General features: G+C 32.3%; 1 protein-coding gene across 34 annotated transcripts in view; it reads right to left on the minus strand.

Annotated features, from left to right (window-relative positions):
- The window catches only part of C2CD5 (C2 calcium dependent domain containing 5), a 95,960-nt gene that overhangs the window by 61,190 nt on the left and 18,151 nt on the right, over window positions 1–16,619 (minus strand). For 10 of the 34 annotated variants that reach the window (NM_001385330.1, NM_001385329.1, NM_014802.3 and 7 more), the window contains 5 exons: window positions 15,838–15,933; window positions 14,700–14,855; window positions 13,654–13,852; window positions 8,214–8,365; window positions 3,522–3,607 (listed from right to left, as the gene is read on the minus strand). In NM_001385330.1, coding sequence (NP_001372259.1) covers window positions 3,522–3,607; window positions 8,214–8,365; window positions 13,654–13,852; window positions 14,700–14,855; window positions 15,838–15,933 — 689 coding nt within the window. Of the gene's footprint in view, window positions 1–2,874; window positions 2,908–3,521; window positions 3,608–5,186; window positions 5,379–8,213; window positions 8,366–9,342; window positions 9,468–13,653; window positions 13,853–14,699; window positions 14,856–15,837; window positions 15,934–16,619 lie in introns of those variants that run through there. The other 24 variants (XM_005253538.3, NM_001385326.1, NM_001385325.1 and 21 more) reach the window with 6 other exon arrangements.

A 16,619-nucleotide genomic window follows, 5' to 3' on the forward strand; every position in this document is an offset into this window, starting at 1 on the left:
AAAACTGAAGTCAAAAGGGCCTTTTATTCCTAGATTCTTTATAAGCAACAAACTTTATCATCTGGTTTCACTGTCATTTAGAGTTAAGGATTTGATTTTATTACACCTGATGAATTTATAGATTTTTCTTCTGTTTAAAAGAATAGCTTCTGCCGGGCACAGTGGCTCACGCCTGTAATCCCAGCACTTTGGGAGGCTGAGGTAGGTGGATCACCTGAGGTTAGGAGTTCAAGACCAGCCTGGTCAACATACTGAAACCCCGTCTCTACTAAAAATACAAAAATTAGCCAGTTGTAGTGGCGGACGCCTGTAATCCCAGCTACTCAGGAGGCTGAGGCAGGAGAATTGCTTGAACCCTGGAGGCGGAGGTTGCAGTGAGCTGAGATCATGCCATTGCCCTCCACCCTGGGCAAGAAGAACAGAACTTCATCTCAATGAAAAAAAAAAAGAGAATAGCTTCCTTAAGATCAGCACAAGCACATCCCGCTTTCAATGTCTAGATGTGAATTTCAGGAACTGCAGAAGAAATTTTCTCCAGAAGTCTTCATATTTAAAGTAGCTTTCCCTGTGGTACCTAGATAAAGTTACATGCTGATGCTTTGACATAAGCCAAGGGCAGGCAGCATAAAAATATTTAATAGTGTGTGCTCAAAGACAGGTTAGTTGAAAAATCATCAGAGCACAATGGGAGTATTCTTTTAAAAAGAGATTTAAATAGGATTTTTCTTAGGAGCTATTTAAATAGTTTATTCTTTAAATCAAATACTCTTTTTATTATTGCAAAAGACTAAACTTTCTAGATATAAAATCCATAACAGATTTCTGCCATGGTTTATTGTACAATTTTACTCCCACTTCTAAAAAGATCAAAATTCTTCAAGAGTTTACCTTATATCAATGTTTCCCAAAATGTGTTCCTCACTAACAGGTATTTTAAAAGGAAAGTTCTATGGTAAAATGTACTTGCGAAATACTAGGTTAAACTAAGTTCACTAGGTTTCTTGACTGAAGGAACTAAAAAAGTACTTCCATATTTTCTCACAGGTAAAATAAAAGTCTTATTGAAAAACAAATCTGGCTGAGCACAGTGGCTCATGCCTCTAACCCCAGCACTCTAAAAGGCTGAGATGGGAGGATCACTTGAGCCCAGGAGTTCGAAACCAGCCTGGGCATCATAGAGAGAGGCTCTCTCCTAATTAATTAATTAAATATCTATTTACTTTACATCAAAAAATTCATAGGTGGAACTTAAATCTAAATAAAACTTTTATCTCTATTTCTCATCTCCCGAAAACCTAGCAATGCTTCTGTGGAGTAAAGAATAACACTTTCAATTTTGACAACTACTACTTGAATAATCCGTAAAAGAGATTGGGCAAATAAAGTTTCTCTTTCCTCAAGAAAAAAAAAAAAAAAAGGCCATATAATTTATTAAGGGTGGTTTACCAAAGGGATAGAAACGAATATTAAAGAAAGGAATATAAAACATCATATAAGTAGATCATGTCAGTGACATAATCTAGTGTTCAGATTAGCAGAATTAAGTCATATCTGAACACATATGGAGAGAATTCTTCATACTTCTTGCTTTTCCCAAAACAGAAACCATACTAATGGCAGTCGCAAGTGAATAGGAAAGCCAAAGATGATAATGCTTTGGCTGCTTACTTTGTACACAAGGTAGAGAAGTACTCTCATAAACTTAAGTAACTGCTACTTCGAGGACAGGCGATATAGATGTACTGCCAACTCAGGACTGACAAGGTTGTAAATGAAAACTATAGTTCTCTACACCTTTACTGTTAATTCCATGAAGTTTATTTAGTAATCTATGTCCAATGTGTAAATGTGTCCAAAATTTTAAGAATGTTTAAATGCATATCTGAAAACACAAATTTTATCCAAACTAATTCAAAATGGTTTTCACTGCTTAATATTTTTTTCCCTTAAAGTGAGATGGTTTTTAAAGATTCTTGGTACAGACAATAAAGTCACAGGCACAACATACAAGTAAAATCTTATTATATCGAATTTCAAGGGAACCCACATTTTTCTGTTGATGTGAATTCCAGAATGGTAATTTCATTATAAGCAAGCATATTCCTCTTGTGAAAAACTCTGTAGAGAACATAATAATGGGACAGGGAAAAAGAGCATTCTGGCCTAAAAAAAATGGTAAGTGGACACACACACACAGCTTCACTCTGACCCTCTTCAACGTTTTCAGTCTTTTATTATATTTGGTTTTAATAGCTGATTTGAATGTTTAGGTGGGCCTTTTGGTGGCAGTTGTAGGTTTGCCTGCAAGGTGCGAGAGTAGTTGGAAGGTAACTGCTGCTTGATAGAGCATGAAGCAAAAAATGAGCTAAAGCCTCATCATTGCTTAGTTCAGCTCTGCTCTCTTCAGCCTTCTCTAGGTAAACAGTGCATACACAGATACTGTCAGCATAAGGAGGGAAAAGTCTAGAAAATAAATCGTACCAACCTCTAGAGGAGAAATACTTTAGTTTTATGAAATGTATCCTTTTTACAGGTATTTACTCTTTCACCTTTTTTCCCCCAAATGCTAGTGTAATATAGAACATGTAAAAGAAAATTCTGTAAATGCTTATAGCTTCCAAATCAGACATAATGAAAGCTATAGAACTATGTCTTAAAATTACTGACATGACATATATAACATGCACCATATTAGTTAGTAGAAAAAAGAACATGAGTCTCACAGTGCTATTAAATAAAAAAAAAACTTTGCATTACGAAAAGAAAAACGCTGTCAACATTTGCTAAGATTAAATAAAATTTAAATGACCAAGATTAAAACTAGAAAGCTATCAATACAAGAAATAGGCTCTCACACATTTTTCAGAAACATACCCGCCTTCTACAGAACCTATGAGGCGATCCTCCCTTAGCAATGAAGTTTATTTAAAAAAAAAAAAGAGAGAGAGAGAAATCATCCAAAAACTGTAACTGCTTATTTTCCCAATGAACAAATATAGCTAAATCTCAAACTTACAATAACTGAAATAGATGCATTATACTGAATAACCACATTATTTATATTAATCTTTAGAAATATAGAATCTGTACATTTCTTATTCCTAAGAGATTGGTCAATGATAAAAGTAATCTCAGCAAATAAATATATTTATATTCTAAGGAATTATTTTTAATATAATAAAATGCTACTGGAATTTTTTTTCTGCAAAATGTTTACCATCTCCTTTCCAATGATAAACGTAATGGAAAATTACTTCAGCATTCAATAGGTATTATCAAAAATAGTATTTCTGATAAAAGATTAAACAAGACAAAAATTATTATTACGTAATTATTCCAAATCAACAGTAATTATCCATAAACAAATTACTTTGACACCTTAAATCCATTTTGGACTTCAAAACTGCAATATTATAGATATGTAACCAAAACAGTTCATGAAAACATGCAAGTACATGGAAGCATAAGATAACAAAGTCATATTAACAGTGTAAGAACAAAGAATATCAAGTGAATCTTACCCTCTGTTCCAACGCTGATTGAGTCTGTTGTCTTAAAAGAGCTTTAAAGGGCCCCCCTTCTTTTCCAGCACTACCACTTCCCATTCCTACAGAACATCAGTACATAAATAACAACCAAAAAAGCAACTATAGAAACAAAGTTTAATTGCATTCATCTTCATAAACATCATGAGTTGAAATGTGATAAAATGATCGAAACATTTAAAGCACTGGGGATGACAAATAAAGCACATATTTTACTCTACTTTTATTCACAGTTTTCTTTAGATGCAACATGTCAGAGCCCTACTGACCCCAGCTAGTTTTGGACTTAATTTTTTCAGAAAATTATAAGAAAAAGTATGTAAAGGTGATGAATCTTTGCATAATATTCCATTTTAAAAGCTGAGTCTTTTAATTAAAATAATCAAGATAATAACAATTACTATGCTAACAATTTAAGAATACTAACAAATGAGAAATATAAAATGTCTGATTAAATGTAAATATAGAGACAAAAGCACTACTTGTGCTCACTGAAAATATTCCAAAATTCTCTAGAAAACATAAAATTCAGGTGAGTCTGAAATATAGTCAAATCTATTTTCTTATAACTTCCCATTTCTAAACATATCATGACAAAACAGTATTAATTTCATACATGTCAACGCTCATTCACAAAAATCAACATAAACTTTTTTTAAGTAAACAAAAAACCACAGACATGTAATAGACACATCACAAATGTACATAGTTATGAATGAAAGAATTATCTTTCCCAAGCTCTTACATGTATTTTTTACGGCTTAATTTTAAATTTCTTTCCCTACCTTATTTTATTGTTCTGACCATGCCAGTAGATCAACTATGGTCAAACAATCATAGAAAGCAGGGGACAGGTAAGAAGCCAGTGCTCTACAGACTAGAGTTAATCCCATCCCTTTCAAAACGTAAGATGCATACAGCCAAATTTACCACAACGACTTAAAAAGGAACTAATTAACTTTTACATTTTTAGCTGTTCTTGGATAAGGAAACAAAGGTTAGCATATGTATAGTCCCATTCTGTTCCTAAAAACAAAAAAATGGTTTTTCTTATAGTAATCTGAACATTATTTTTAGAGACTATACAATACTAAACATAGAAATGAAACTAAGATCTTTATACGAAGCATATTAAAAGCCAGAAAATAAAATGTAAATTTGTAGTGATAATTGAAATATCAGAAAATAGAGCAGAAAAATTTAATAATTAATGCAACAGACAGAAAAAAAGATAATAAAAGAATATCACCAAAATGAGACTTAAACTGATTCAAACAGAATAATTTACTAATGTAATCATATGGTTTAGCAACATGATGACACAGGTCCAATGTGAATGGAGTTGGTATGAAGGGAAAGAAAGTAAAGCATCTAAAACAGAAACTGTAGTAATAAGAATCTAATAATATTAGAAATACCCAGATCTATGTCCTTATATAATTTTTTAATATATAAAATAATTTGGCAGAATATTCATGATTAGCCATCAAGTAATCCTCAATTATATCCTTATAATTCCAATTATTTAACTCTGACTACCAGTAAGAAAAATAATAGAAAGGCATCTTGTATAAAATACCCAATAATTTTTTACAGCATGAAAAATAAAGGGATTAAAAAGCTGACATAATGTGATCCTACCAGAAGCAGCCAGGAACAGCTCTTCACTGAAAGAAACACTTTTCCTCAGAACTGGGCTGACAAGGCTAGAATGATGAGGGGTAAGGCTAGATTCCGAGAGGAGGAGACAGGACTTTTTAAGATGAAGGGAACCACAAGAGAGAGAGGGGGAGCTGGGACACAGGTAAATCCTAGGTCCCTGTGGGTAAGGTGCTGTGGAGGAAAGTAGCAGAGAAAAGATGCAGATTCAGAAGATGATCAGAAAATGCAGGCTAAGGAAAGCAATGATGAGGCAAAATATAACAATAAAAATGAACTTTAAAATGTACAGACAAATTACACTAAGCAAATGAGAAGTCACTAGCAAGACCATCTATCCCACGTAATGAAAATAACAGGCATAGTCTAAAACTTAACAAAACCTTTACAAACTTCACATTCATTAAAATTTTTTAAATCACTAACTTAGGATTTTATGTGATTCTAATAACTTTTAATTAATGTCTTCAAAATACTTAACTTGCCTGCCCTTTTTGGCTTAAGAATTTGTAAGATTCAAATGTACCCCATTTTCAAATTTTTAGAGCCAGACTTGCTGCCTAAAATATAAACACTTATTTAAAGTTATAAAGGTGCAGTACTTCAAATGTTACTAACTAAAAGATAGCATCAATGGGCACTTTAATTGAATATCCATAAAAAATACTCAGTACTGGATTAGGTAAACAGTTGTCAGTATTAATTTTAATATTAACTTCTGTCCAGTTTTGAGATATATATTAATACTTTTCTTTTTCCTCTAAAATGTTTAATACTTTACTCTGATCATAGTATTATTTGCATTTACAGAGACGTGAGTACCCTAAGGGTCAAATACCCTCTATAAAAACTATACATAGTTAAAAGACTGGCTAAAAAAAATTAGCTAAAATCAGGTGTCAAATCAATATTCTAACACTAGTAAATCTAAAATTCCACTATTAGTTAAATACTTGGGAAAAAATATAAAAATAAAACCTTGTAAATGTCAAAAATTAGTATCTACAGAAATATAAAATTTTTTAAAAGAGACCTACCAGAAATACAGATAATGTAGCTTTAACTACAAACAGAAAAAAAAAAAAACAACTTTCTCAGTCTAAATGTTATTAACTTTATTCTACTTTTGGATTCCCAAATAAATTATAATCAGCTTATCTCTGTCCATTATTTCTCAAGACACTGATTCTGATATAGGTAAATCAGAAGGCAGAAAATCATGAAATACAGGCTGAAATTATAGTTTTAGAATTTTTATAACAATCACAATTTTGCCATTTGAAGTCTCCATGAGAAATAGGAGTGCTCCTCAGGACAATTTAGAGATATTTAGGGACTCATAATATAAGGCCAAGGGGCTGAAAACTGCTAATATTATATAAATAAACTATTGAAGTAATAAATAATTTTAGGAAAAAAATTATTTAGAGGTAGCTTATAAATATAGGAATACATGAGAATAACACCCCATTTGAGAATAAATTTTTTTAAACTAAAAATTTGGAGCCAGAAGATAAAATATGACAAGTTCATTGATATTTATTCCTTGACAATCTTCTTTAGGCTTGGCCTTTTTGGTAAATTAAAAAAAAAAGAAACAAGAAACAAGAAACAGAAAGACCAAGGAAATGCTTTCCAAACTTTATCTGTGGTATGGCAAAAAAAATAAAATAATAATAATAATAACAATAAATAAATAAAGGCCTGGAATATGCAGTCTGTGGACCAAAGTCTCAAAAATATTTTTTTAAACTTATTACTCAAATAGTAATGTAAGTCTTTCTTGTCTTGATTGTCATGAATTTTAAGGCCAGAGCCTCTTACTCTTTATCTGAAAAAAAAAATCTTTTTTCACTACAATCTGGATGGTTCCATTTTTATGGCATAAACCTCGTAAGGTGCCAAATTCCAAAGCATCCATTACTGTCAAATAACTACATTATTTGTAGACATTATTCACAATTATCTAGAAAGATGAAGCTGTTATCTTCAAGAAAACAGGTGTTTATAATTATCTTTATATTTTACGACTTCATTTATAAAAACAGAAATTAAATCTATAGGCTTTTTAAAAAATGATCTTTCCTTAGAAGTAGCACTGCTTTGGATTTAGACTTCTTTTCCTTGTTTTCACAAAATCTAGGATTGTTTTATAAATTTCTTTTCTAACATACATATAGGGCTACTAAAAATATTAACTAAAAATAACAAATAAGAACTATGTTTTAATCATCTGATGGGAAAACTGTCAGACAAAAATACTATTTATAAAAATTTCATCACTATTAAGTTTTTAAATTTATTTTAAATTTTTCTAAACAATAATAATTTAATGATTTAAATAAGTTAATTCTATTCTAAGGTATAAAGAACTAATCTGATTTTTCATCAACTTTTTATCATAAAACATATTCATAAAAACCCAGAAATCATTCATCAAAATACAATAGAAAATACAAATTTAATGAACAGAAAAATTTAAGAATAAGTAAAAATGCTATTTTCTAACCTAGAAAGACTAGTAAAACCAAACATTTTAAATACCCAGTTAATAAATAGATAGATGTACTCTAATATAACCATTTCAGTGGTTTAAAGTTTTTTCATAATAAAATCTTAGAATTATATTCACTAATAGGCAGAAATAATAAATTCAAAAATGCTTGTATGCAATTGATTGCAAGCCACTAGTGTTACTTTTTAGTCAAAATGTTTTAAGATGTTATTCCTTTTAATTCGAGCATAAAATGAAAAATGTCTACATGCCAAAATAAATCGTGGACTTTGATATCTACACTATGATTAAATCAATGAAATGTAAACAAGATAATTTCTGAATTATACAAAATTTTCATATTTTAATTGCAGTAACTGAAAATGGTCAGTATTCACATTTTCTTTTTAACTTAAGTGCCAAAAACAAGAGGAAAGATTTGGATGGAAAGCTAATAAGAAATAGAAACAAATTTTTAAAAAAGAAAAAATAAAAGGTGGGTGGAAGCGCCTTACCAGTTTTGGGTGTCAAACTCAAATCTGTGTCAGAAGAAGAGGACTGTCGACTGTAGGACTTGGAAGGTGAAAAGGAATAAGTTTGGTTTTTCAGAGGGGTTGAGGGTCCTGATGAGTGAGTATTGGGATTGGGATCTTCATTGAAGGGAATCCTGCCAGAAGAAGGTGGAGAAATATTAAGTAATCATGTGCCAAAGGACTTGACAGGTGGCAGCATGATCCAAACACCAGGAAAGAATTGGGGCAGGGCCAGCAGTCATTTCTTACGTGTGGAGCTGGGAATGAGGCCAAAGACAACCAATTGCTGTTTAACCATTCATCACTCTCCAGATAAATATTATCTGCATTGAAACAGTTAATAAGCCAAGTGAAAAAGCAAAAAAGCATGAAATGACAGACTAAGGGGATAAAAAATATCAAAAGGAGAAATAAAAAGAATATATGACAAAATATTTTCAAATAAACAATGCTGTAAGTTACAAAAGAAAAATGGTAACTACAAATGGTGTGTGTAAATATTCATAATTGTTTTTATATTTGCACACACACAGATATCCTCAAAAGAAAAAAATGTTTCCTTATCCTATAGCAGCAAGAGTGCCACAGCTAAAAACACAGCAGAGAGAAAAATGAATACAGCTACACAGAAACATTGCATTTAATGCAGAATAGTTGCTTACCTGTTCTCCAATAGCTCTCTTCCACAGAATGAAATAGGACCTACTGTAATAGGTTTTGTATATAAAGAAAATAAGCAAATTGGAAGCTTTGGCAGCTATTTCATTTAGAATCTAATCATCAATTTTATTTTTAAACAAATGCAGAAATAATTATAAAAATATATATGGGAGGATTCGCCACAAAATTCACAGTACACACATACAAAATAGCATTATTTGAGGATCTGTGGAAGAGACTTTGGAAGCTGGAAGAATACCTTCACTTCCATATAGTTAGAGACTCTGTGGCAGCTAAATACAGAAGTTCCTCACTGCAGCTGGACTTCGAGTAAGAAAAGGATGAAGCAAAGATTTATGGTACCTGCCTACACTACCTGCCTGCCTGCCTCTGCAGCCACTCTGCCCGTGGCCTGCATCTCCCCAGCTCTGGAGTCTGAGCAGTCTCGTACCAGTATAGATGAGAGTGGGAACAGACACAGAGAAGTTCTGAGTAAGTCGTGAGCCAGTAGCAGTGTGAATTGGGCTGTTGTGAGTCGAGCGGCATCCATGGCTTGGAGGATGAACCAGCGGAGACCTGAGGGAATTTGTGGTCAAAGTGGAAGAAAAGAAAACAATACATACAACAGATTGCAGAGTTATGTTAAAATAATTTCAAAGGAGCTTTAGTCAGGGAAGAGAACTTATTTTTTTAATCCCTAGCATGCAAAAAACAAGTTGAAATTGAAAAATAGCTAAATATTAATTTGTTAGGATACATAGTTTTAAAGTATCCGATTAATAAATTAATTGTGATTAATTTATTAATTGTGAATAAGAAAATAGCAAGCAGAATAGTCAATGAAATTAAATGAGAACAAGACTAAGATCTGTATTTTAAGTTTCCTTAACATATTTGTCATTATTTTCATCACAATAGAACTTACTATGCACTATTTATGGGGAGGGACGCCCATAAAAGTAAAAAGTCAAATATAAAGTTCTTATATTACCTTTGAAACTGAGATATGAATTGCTGATATAATTAATTATATTTTCTATAAAGAAAGTTAAATAACTGTCTAGGCTACTAAGATAGGGGTATTTAAGAATATGAGAGATGATGGCACAAAGAGAAATGAGTGAACTGATTGGATATACGCAGATAAACATATTCCAGTATTTCAATACACCAAATATATAGCTTAAAATCAGGTTACACTGGAAACAAAACAAGGGGACCTTGCTTTTAAAGACATCTTCATAAAACAATGTCAATAACTTTGGCTCTCATACAGAATATATCATATAAACTATATTCCAAATCAAAATTTTATAAGATATCAACATATATCCTATAATAAACCATATCTATGTGTGTGTATACTTAGAGCAGTTATACAAGTATATATTGATATATAAGATTTGAAATTTTTAAGAAAAAATTTGGCTAAAAGGATTACATTGAATGTTGTAAAAAGGTATACTACATAAATAAGAATCCTGAATTTAATATCAGCAATTATTTCACTGTGCAATGCCTTTGCTTACACACAATGAGGGAAACAGAATCATATGAATCATATGTGAGTACACTCTGAAAAACTATCATCCCCATTTTTTAGAACGCAAATTAAAGGCAGGCAAAGAGCCCAACTTTACCTGATCTTTTCTTTCTTTTCCATTGCTATATTACTGACTGCCCAGGAACATTCCCCAATTCACAATTTGTCAAGGTTCTAACATGAGCTATCACTAACTGATCATAATAGTCCTTCCTAAGGTCTACAGACTACTTTATGAAAATATTACTGATTTTGCAATAGGAGAACTGTTTCTACGTTTGTTGCTAATAGAAATTAAAAGGTATTTACTATAATGGATAAAAATCAAACAATTCATTGGTGATCTACTTTTACACCAAAAAATGAGTAAGGTTTTGTTTTTGTTTTTATTTCTCCACTGAAGTGAGAAAAAGTATAAGAATTCTCAAAAAGAATTAAAAAATCCAAGACTTAAAAATAAACAATGCTATATTTATTATAATCAGTAGTATACACAGGAGAATTTGTCTCGTAGTACTTTTTTTAAGTAAAGAAGCAATAACTCATACTTAAAAGCACTTTCTATTGTCAAGAGAGTTAAGCTGGAAAACACCAAAGGGATTTATAGTGTGCATGACACTAAACATCAAAAAGAAAAAAACTTAGGAAGTAGAACACACCATTAATGTAGGTAAAATAAAATGAAAAAACTAAAATGAACAGTGTAAAATGTTCAAACTATGGCATCAAATTAAAATTCAAATACACTGGAACATCACCATAATGTACTCTTGGAGTTTTCTGATTCGATCAGTCTCTCTGCATGAAAGGATGCCTCATAATAACCTGTGGTATTTATAATATTAATATTCCTTTCCAGTCAGTCAATAACATAATCTAAACCACCTTTTATCAAATTCCTGTCTAGAATCAACAATATTACATAATTAAATACCAGAATAGTTATAATCAGCTGAATCATAAAATAGGCTTTGAAATAGAACCCAAATTGCTTCATTCTCAAAAAATACAATGAAGCCAGTTGAAATAAAACAGCCTGAGTATTGAGGGTTTTTAAAAAATAACTTGACTTAATTAGTAAGATGCCTTTTAGAAAATCCTAAGGAAGGAACTTACGTCCATCATGAGGCTACAACAAGATTAGAAAAGGAGAAAACGTATACAATCCCAGAAGATTTACACTAATAGAACTCTTCCTGAATGCATGCAAAACATATCCCCTTGCTCTCTGTATTTCATTCTAAGGAACCAACAGGTAATATAGCTTTGTCATTCTCCTTCCACTAGGTAACTTACTTAAATTTGCTTAAACTTGCACTTTAATTTGCTAGTAAATATTTACTTAAATTTGCTACAGAGAGAGGGAAAAAAATCTGAATACCTCAAAAAGCTAAACCTGCAATCTGACTCTACTGCTGGCAGCTGGCAATTCTTATCTTTCTAGGAGATATTTTAAATGGAATATAAAGCAAATTCATTCTTCGATTTATTTAAAACAATTATTTCATTTGCCAATGTGTTTCCAAATAAAATTAAGCAGTATGTAACACTGTGCTTCCTCTTATGAATAAAATTCAACCCAAATGACTAATGGCCAGCAGAAATAAAATGGCTAACAAAAAGAATGCACTTAGGATAAAGATGAAAATTTCACTTTAAAAAAGATGGTGAAAAAACATGTTTTTTCATACTATGATACCTTTCTATTCAACCCCTCCTGACTACTGAACTGGGAAACATTTTAGGTTTCCTGACTATACAACTCTGACTCCCTGATTATCTAGGACAGGAGTCCACAAACTACAGACTGCAGTCCGAATCTGTCCTACCATCTGTTTTGTAAGTAAGTTTTATTTGAACACAGTCACACTGTATTCACTTGCATACTGTTTATGTTTGCTTTTGTGCTACAATGGCAGTTATGAAGTAGCATCAGCAAAAACTAAATCATTTACCTGTACCATTTGGTCATTCACAGAAAAAGTTTGCCAACCCTTGACTTAGAAGAATCTCTAGATGAGTGGTCTTCAACCGAAGTACTAAAGGCATTTAGGATGAAACAAGTCTTCATTGTATAGGGTTGTCCCTTGCTGTGCGGGATAGTCAGCGTTTTTAGTCCCCAACAGGACCTAGCACCCTAATCATTATGACTGAAAAATCTTGTTCCAAACACTCTGTGATGACAGTCATGACCACCATCATGTTGAAAATCTCTGCCTCTGACACAATGATGACACACACAGGCCAAATCAAGCCAACAGAAGTGTTTTGCAGGATCACACATAGATTTTCTAAAATGCATGACTCTAAATTTCTTTAGAATAGGGATCAGCAAACTCCTTTTTTTGTAAATAAAGACAAGAGATTGTATGGGCAGACCCTAAAGTATTGGCCTTTCCCAGAAAAAGTTTGCCAACCTTGGCTTTACAAGCAGCAGTATACTCTATTTAATTACACTCAGTTAGTTTATTCATATAAACTCCCTGGCCTCTAGACATTTGAGTTTAACACTTCTGCACAAATCAATTTTTCCTGCTTTATATACTATGTGGCCATTAATAAGTATAATTGGATTATCTGGTAGAGGGTTTTAAGTATTCCTCAGAAAATAAAATGCCACACAATGCTTGAATATTCATTTTATGCTTTATATATGCAGTGTCTAAATATCTGGAATAAGTTTAATTTTATATTACTTAATTTGTTTCATATTAAGATGGCATAGGCAGGGCACAGTGGCTCACACCTGTAAATCCCAGCATTTTGGGAGGTCAAGGCAGGTAGATCACTTGAGCCCAGGAGTTTGAGACCAGGCTAGGCAACATGACAAAACCCCATCTCTACTAAAAATACAAAAGTTAGCTGGGCGTGGTGGCCTGCCCCTGTAGTCCCAGCTACTCAGGCGGCTGAGGTGGGAGGATCACCTGAGCCTAGAAGGTCAAGGCTGCAGTGAGCCAAGACTGTGCCACTGAACTCCAGCCTGGGCAACAGAGCAAGACCCTGTCACAAAAAATAAAAATAAAAATAAATAAGACGGTATAAATAAAATATTAGGAATATTTAAATATTTTTAAGTTTTAAATTTTGACAGTCATCACCAATAAAAATCATCACAGAGAAAATGTTGAACAACCCTACTAAAATGTTTCAAATCAAATGAAAAAGCATAGATAAAAGATAAAAATCTTAGCAAGAACAATTTCATTGATTCATACTTACTCCTTCATTTCTTTGGATGGGGAATTACATGCAGGAAGGAATGCTGCTGGGCTACTTAATTTATCCAGAGTACACGCCGTTCCTATGGCTCGCACCACTAACCCAGACTCGCCCTCCAGATCGAAACACTGTAAGTACCCCACAACTGCATTTCCTCTCATTTCAAGTACTTTCAAGCCAATCTTCCTCTGCAGCTCACCTACAAAACATGGGAAATCTCATTCTTGCTTTGTAGCTTTACATTACATACTATAAGACTGGACATGGTAGTGGTAAAAAAAAAAAAAAAGACCAAGAAAATCACAGATTTTCAGAACTTGAAGGAAACTTAAAAGATAATCTGGTTTAGCCTCTACAGAATACAGAACATAATTCTATTACAATATAGCATAATTATAAAATATAATATATACTTATACAGCACAAATATATAGAATAAAAACAAATATATTTGCTATATAAATATAACATTGATACTTTGTGTGAAATACATGTATGAATATATATTCACACATATACACATATAACTCTTAATATAAATGTAAATTTTAAATAAAACAGTAAACAAGTTTTTCAAAGAAAAATTTAAAAAGGGAATGAGGTCAGAGTGGCAGGGAAAGTGGTCAAAAGGATAGAGGGAACTACAGTACCTAGGGAGGAACTGTGAAAAGGCAACATCTGAACAGAAAGTATGAGAGACAGAAGAAGGTGATTTGCTTAAGCTCTGACAAATAAATGGTAGATGAAGGAAAACTAGAATCCAGGTTCCCACTCAGGGTTCCTTCCTGAACGCCCCTTGCTCAGCGCTCTTTCCACTACACTACCTCATCAACACAATTTCCTTTTACTACAAGCTTCTGATTTGCATTTCCACTTGTTAAAAGAGGGCAATGCAAGTGTGTTCAGGAAGACTGGCCCAGGGGAAGGCATGCAGTCACTTATAATTCATAGCCTTCATTGTAAAGTTGAGGTAGCATGTCAAAGGAAAGCAAAAAATTTAAGAGAGTACTAAATCAGTCAGTAATAAAGTTATTTTTTTTAAATACCTGACATTAACGAAATGAGTCTCTGTCTGGCCTCATTTGATGCCCTTGGTGTGCGAATTCGATCAATCCACTGATATTCTGGGTCTTCATTGACCACAAGTTCTTCTACAAATCCATGAATTATCACAGCTCTATAGCATTTTGGAATAGACGTTGCTGTTAAAACAAATTATTATGCTTCTGTTTATCAAAAGGTAAAACTCAATTTTTAAAAAATGTACATCTCAATTTTCTGACCTTTAGATACATAATACAAGAACATCTTTTACTGTAATATTTTCAATGTAATTATAATAATACTTCCAGTCTTCTAAGATCTATTTCATTTTTAGAAATAATTATTGTCTTTCATGGAGGCTCTCACCTTTCTCATGTAAGCAAAGTAAATATAAACTGCATTTGTATAATTTGGAAAACAGCTATAGAAGACCTTAAACAGAATTCAATACAAAGTTTAAAAAATCAAAATTTAAGTCAGCTAGCTAATTATTATATAAATAGGTAGAAAGCAGATAATGAATTTTTTTAAATCTTTAATTATTCAAAGCCCTTTGTAAAAGTACTTCTGTACACCACATAGCAGTTTCAAAAATCAAACCATTACCTTTCTGACATAACCTGAGGAGTCAAGTTCAGATTCAAAAAGGAGAGAGAGAACCTGAATACATCTGTACCAAATTAGTCTCTTAAAATAAACATTGGTGCACTGAAGCTAAGTCAACTACTTAGGGATTTCAATCCTACTACTGCAGGCGGGCTGTGATCACCAAGATCTGCCCATTTCAGACCCATATATTTCATGGAGTTCCCTAGACCCAATACCCATAAAAGCCTGTGTATTTTGGGACAGCACCATAGTGCTTAGCCGTAGTGTTCTGCTCCTTTCTTTTAGTGTCCTATACTACAGTGAAATGTCACTGGATTTTTCTAATAAAAATTTCTATAAATTTTCAAAAACTAGATATCATTTATACTCAAATCAGAACTACTGTAACTATTCTAGAAAATTAACAATTTTCTCTTTGGCATTAAAACCAAGTACAATAGCTTTTCTACTTGCCTTCTGAAATGTTAACTTGATTTCTCATATTTAACAGTTATTACATTTCCTGTTGAGTAATAGAATGTATTTACTTACTGCAAAAGAATTTGACTCCACATGATGACTGCCTAAATCGATTTAAATCATTGAAGAGGTCTACTTTGACAACTACATTGATTTCCCCACGGATACCTATAAATTTAAAAAGAAAATCAAGTTTCTACCTTAAGAAAGTAATGTACAATTAAATAATGAAGCAAATTAATGCTAAATAATGATTTTAAAATACAATGATTTAACTCACAATTTTTTGAACTTTACCATGGTGCAAAACCATTCTGATTTTCACTTTCAGTCCAGAATTCAATGAATTACATGAGATGTTCAATACTTTATTTAAAAAATAGTCTTTGTTTTAGTTGATTCTGTCCAACTGTAGGCTAATATAAGTGTTCGGTGCACATTTGAGATAGGCTAGGCTAAGCTATAATGTTTGGTTGATTAGATATATTAAATGCATTTTCAACTTGGGATGAGTTTATCTGGATATAACGCCATCACAAATCAAGGTGCATCTGTAATGTGTTGATCATAATAGTAATGCCAGCTTTGTTTCCTAGTTATTTTCTTTTTCAGTAGTTTCTGTATATTTTCTGAAGCACAACACGTATGCATTAGAATATGAATAATTTTCATTTTCACAAGTCTCCACTTTGACCCAAGACTAATTAGAAAGGAGTCCCATTTGAATTGATGATGATGATAATGATTATGGTGACAACATTTGCTGAGCACTGATACACGATGTACTAAACACTTTACAGGTAGTATCTCAGAGCAGTCACATCAACCCAATAAGGTAGTATCATCCCCATTTT

Source organism: Homo sapiens, chromosome 12 (genome assembly GCF_000001405.40).
Source record: "Homo sapiens chromosome 12, GRCh38.p14 Primary Assembly".
In the NCBI taxonomy this organism is placed as follows: domain Eukaryota; kingdom Metazoa; phylum Chordata; class Mammalia; order Primates; family Hominidae; genus Homo; species Homo sapiens.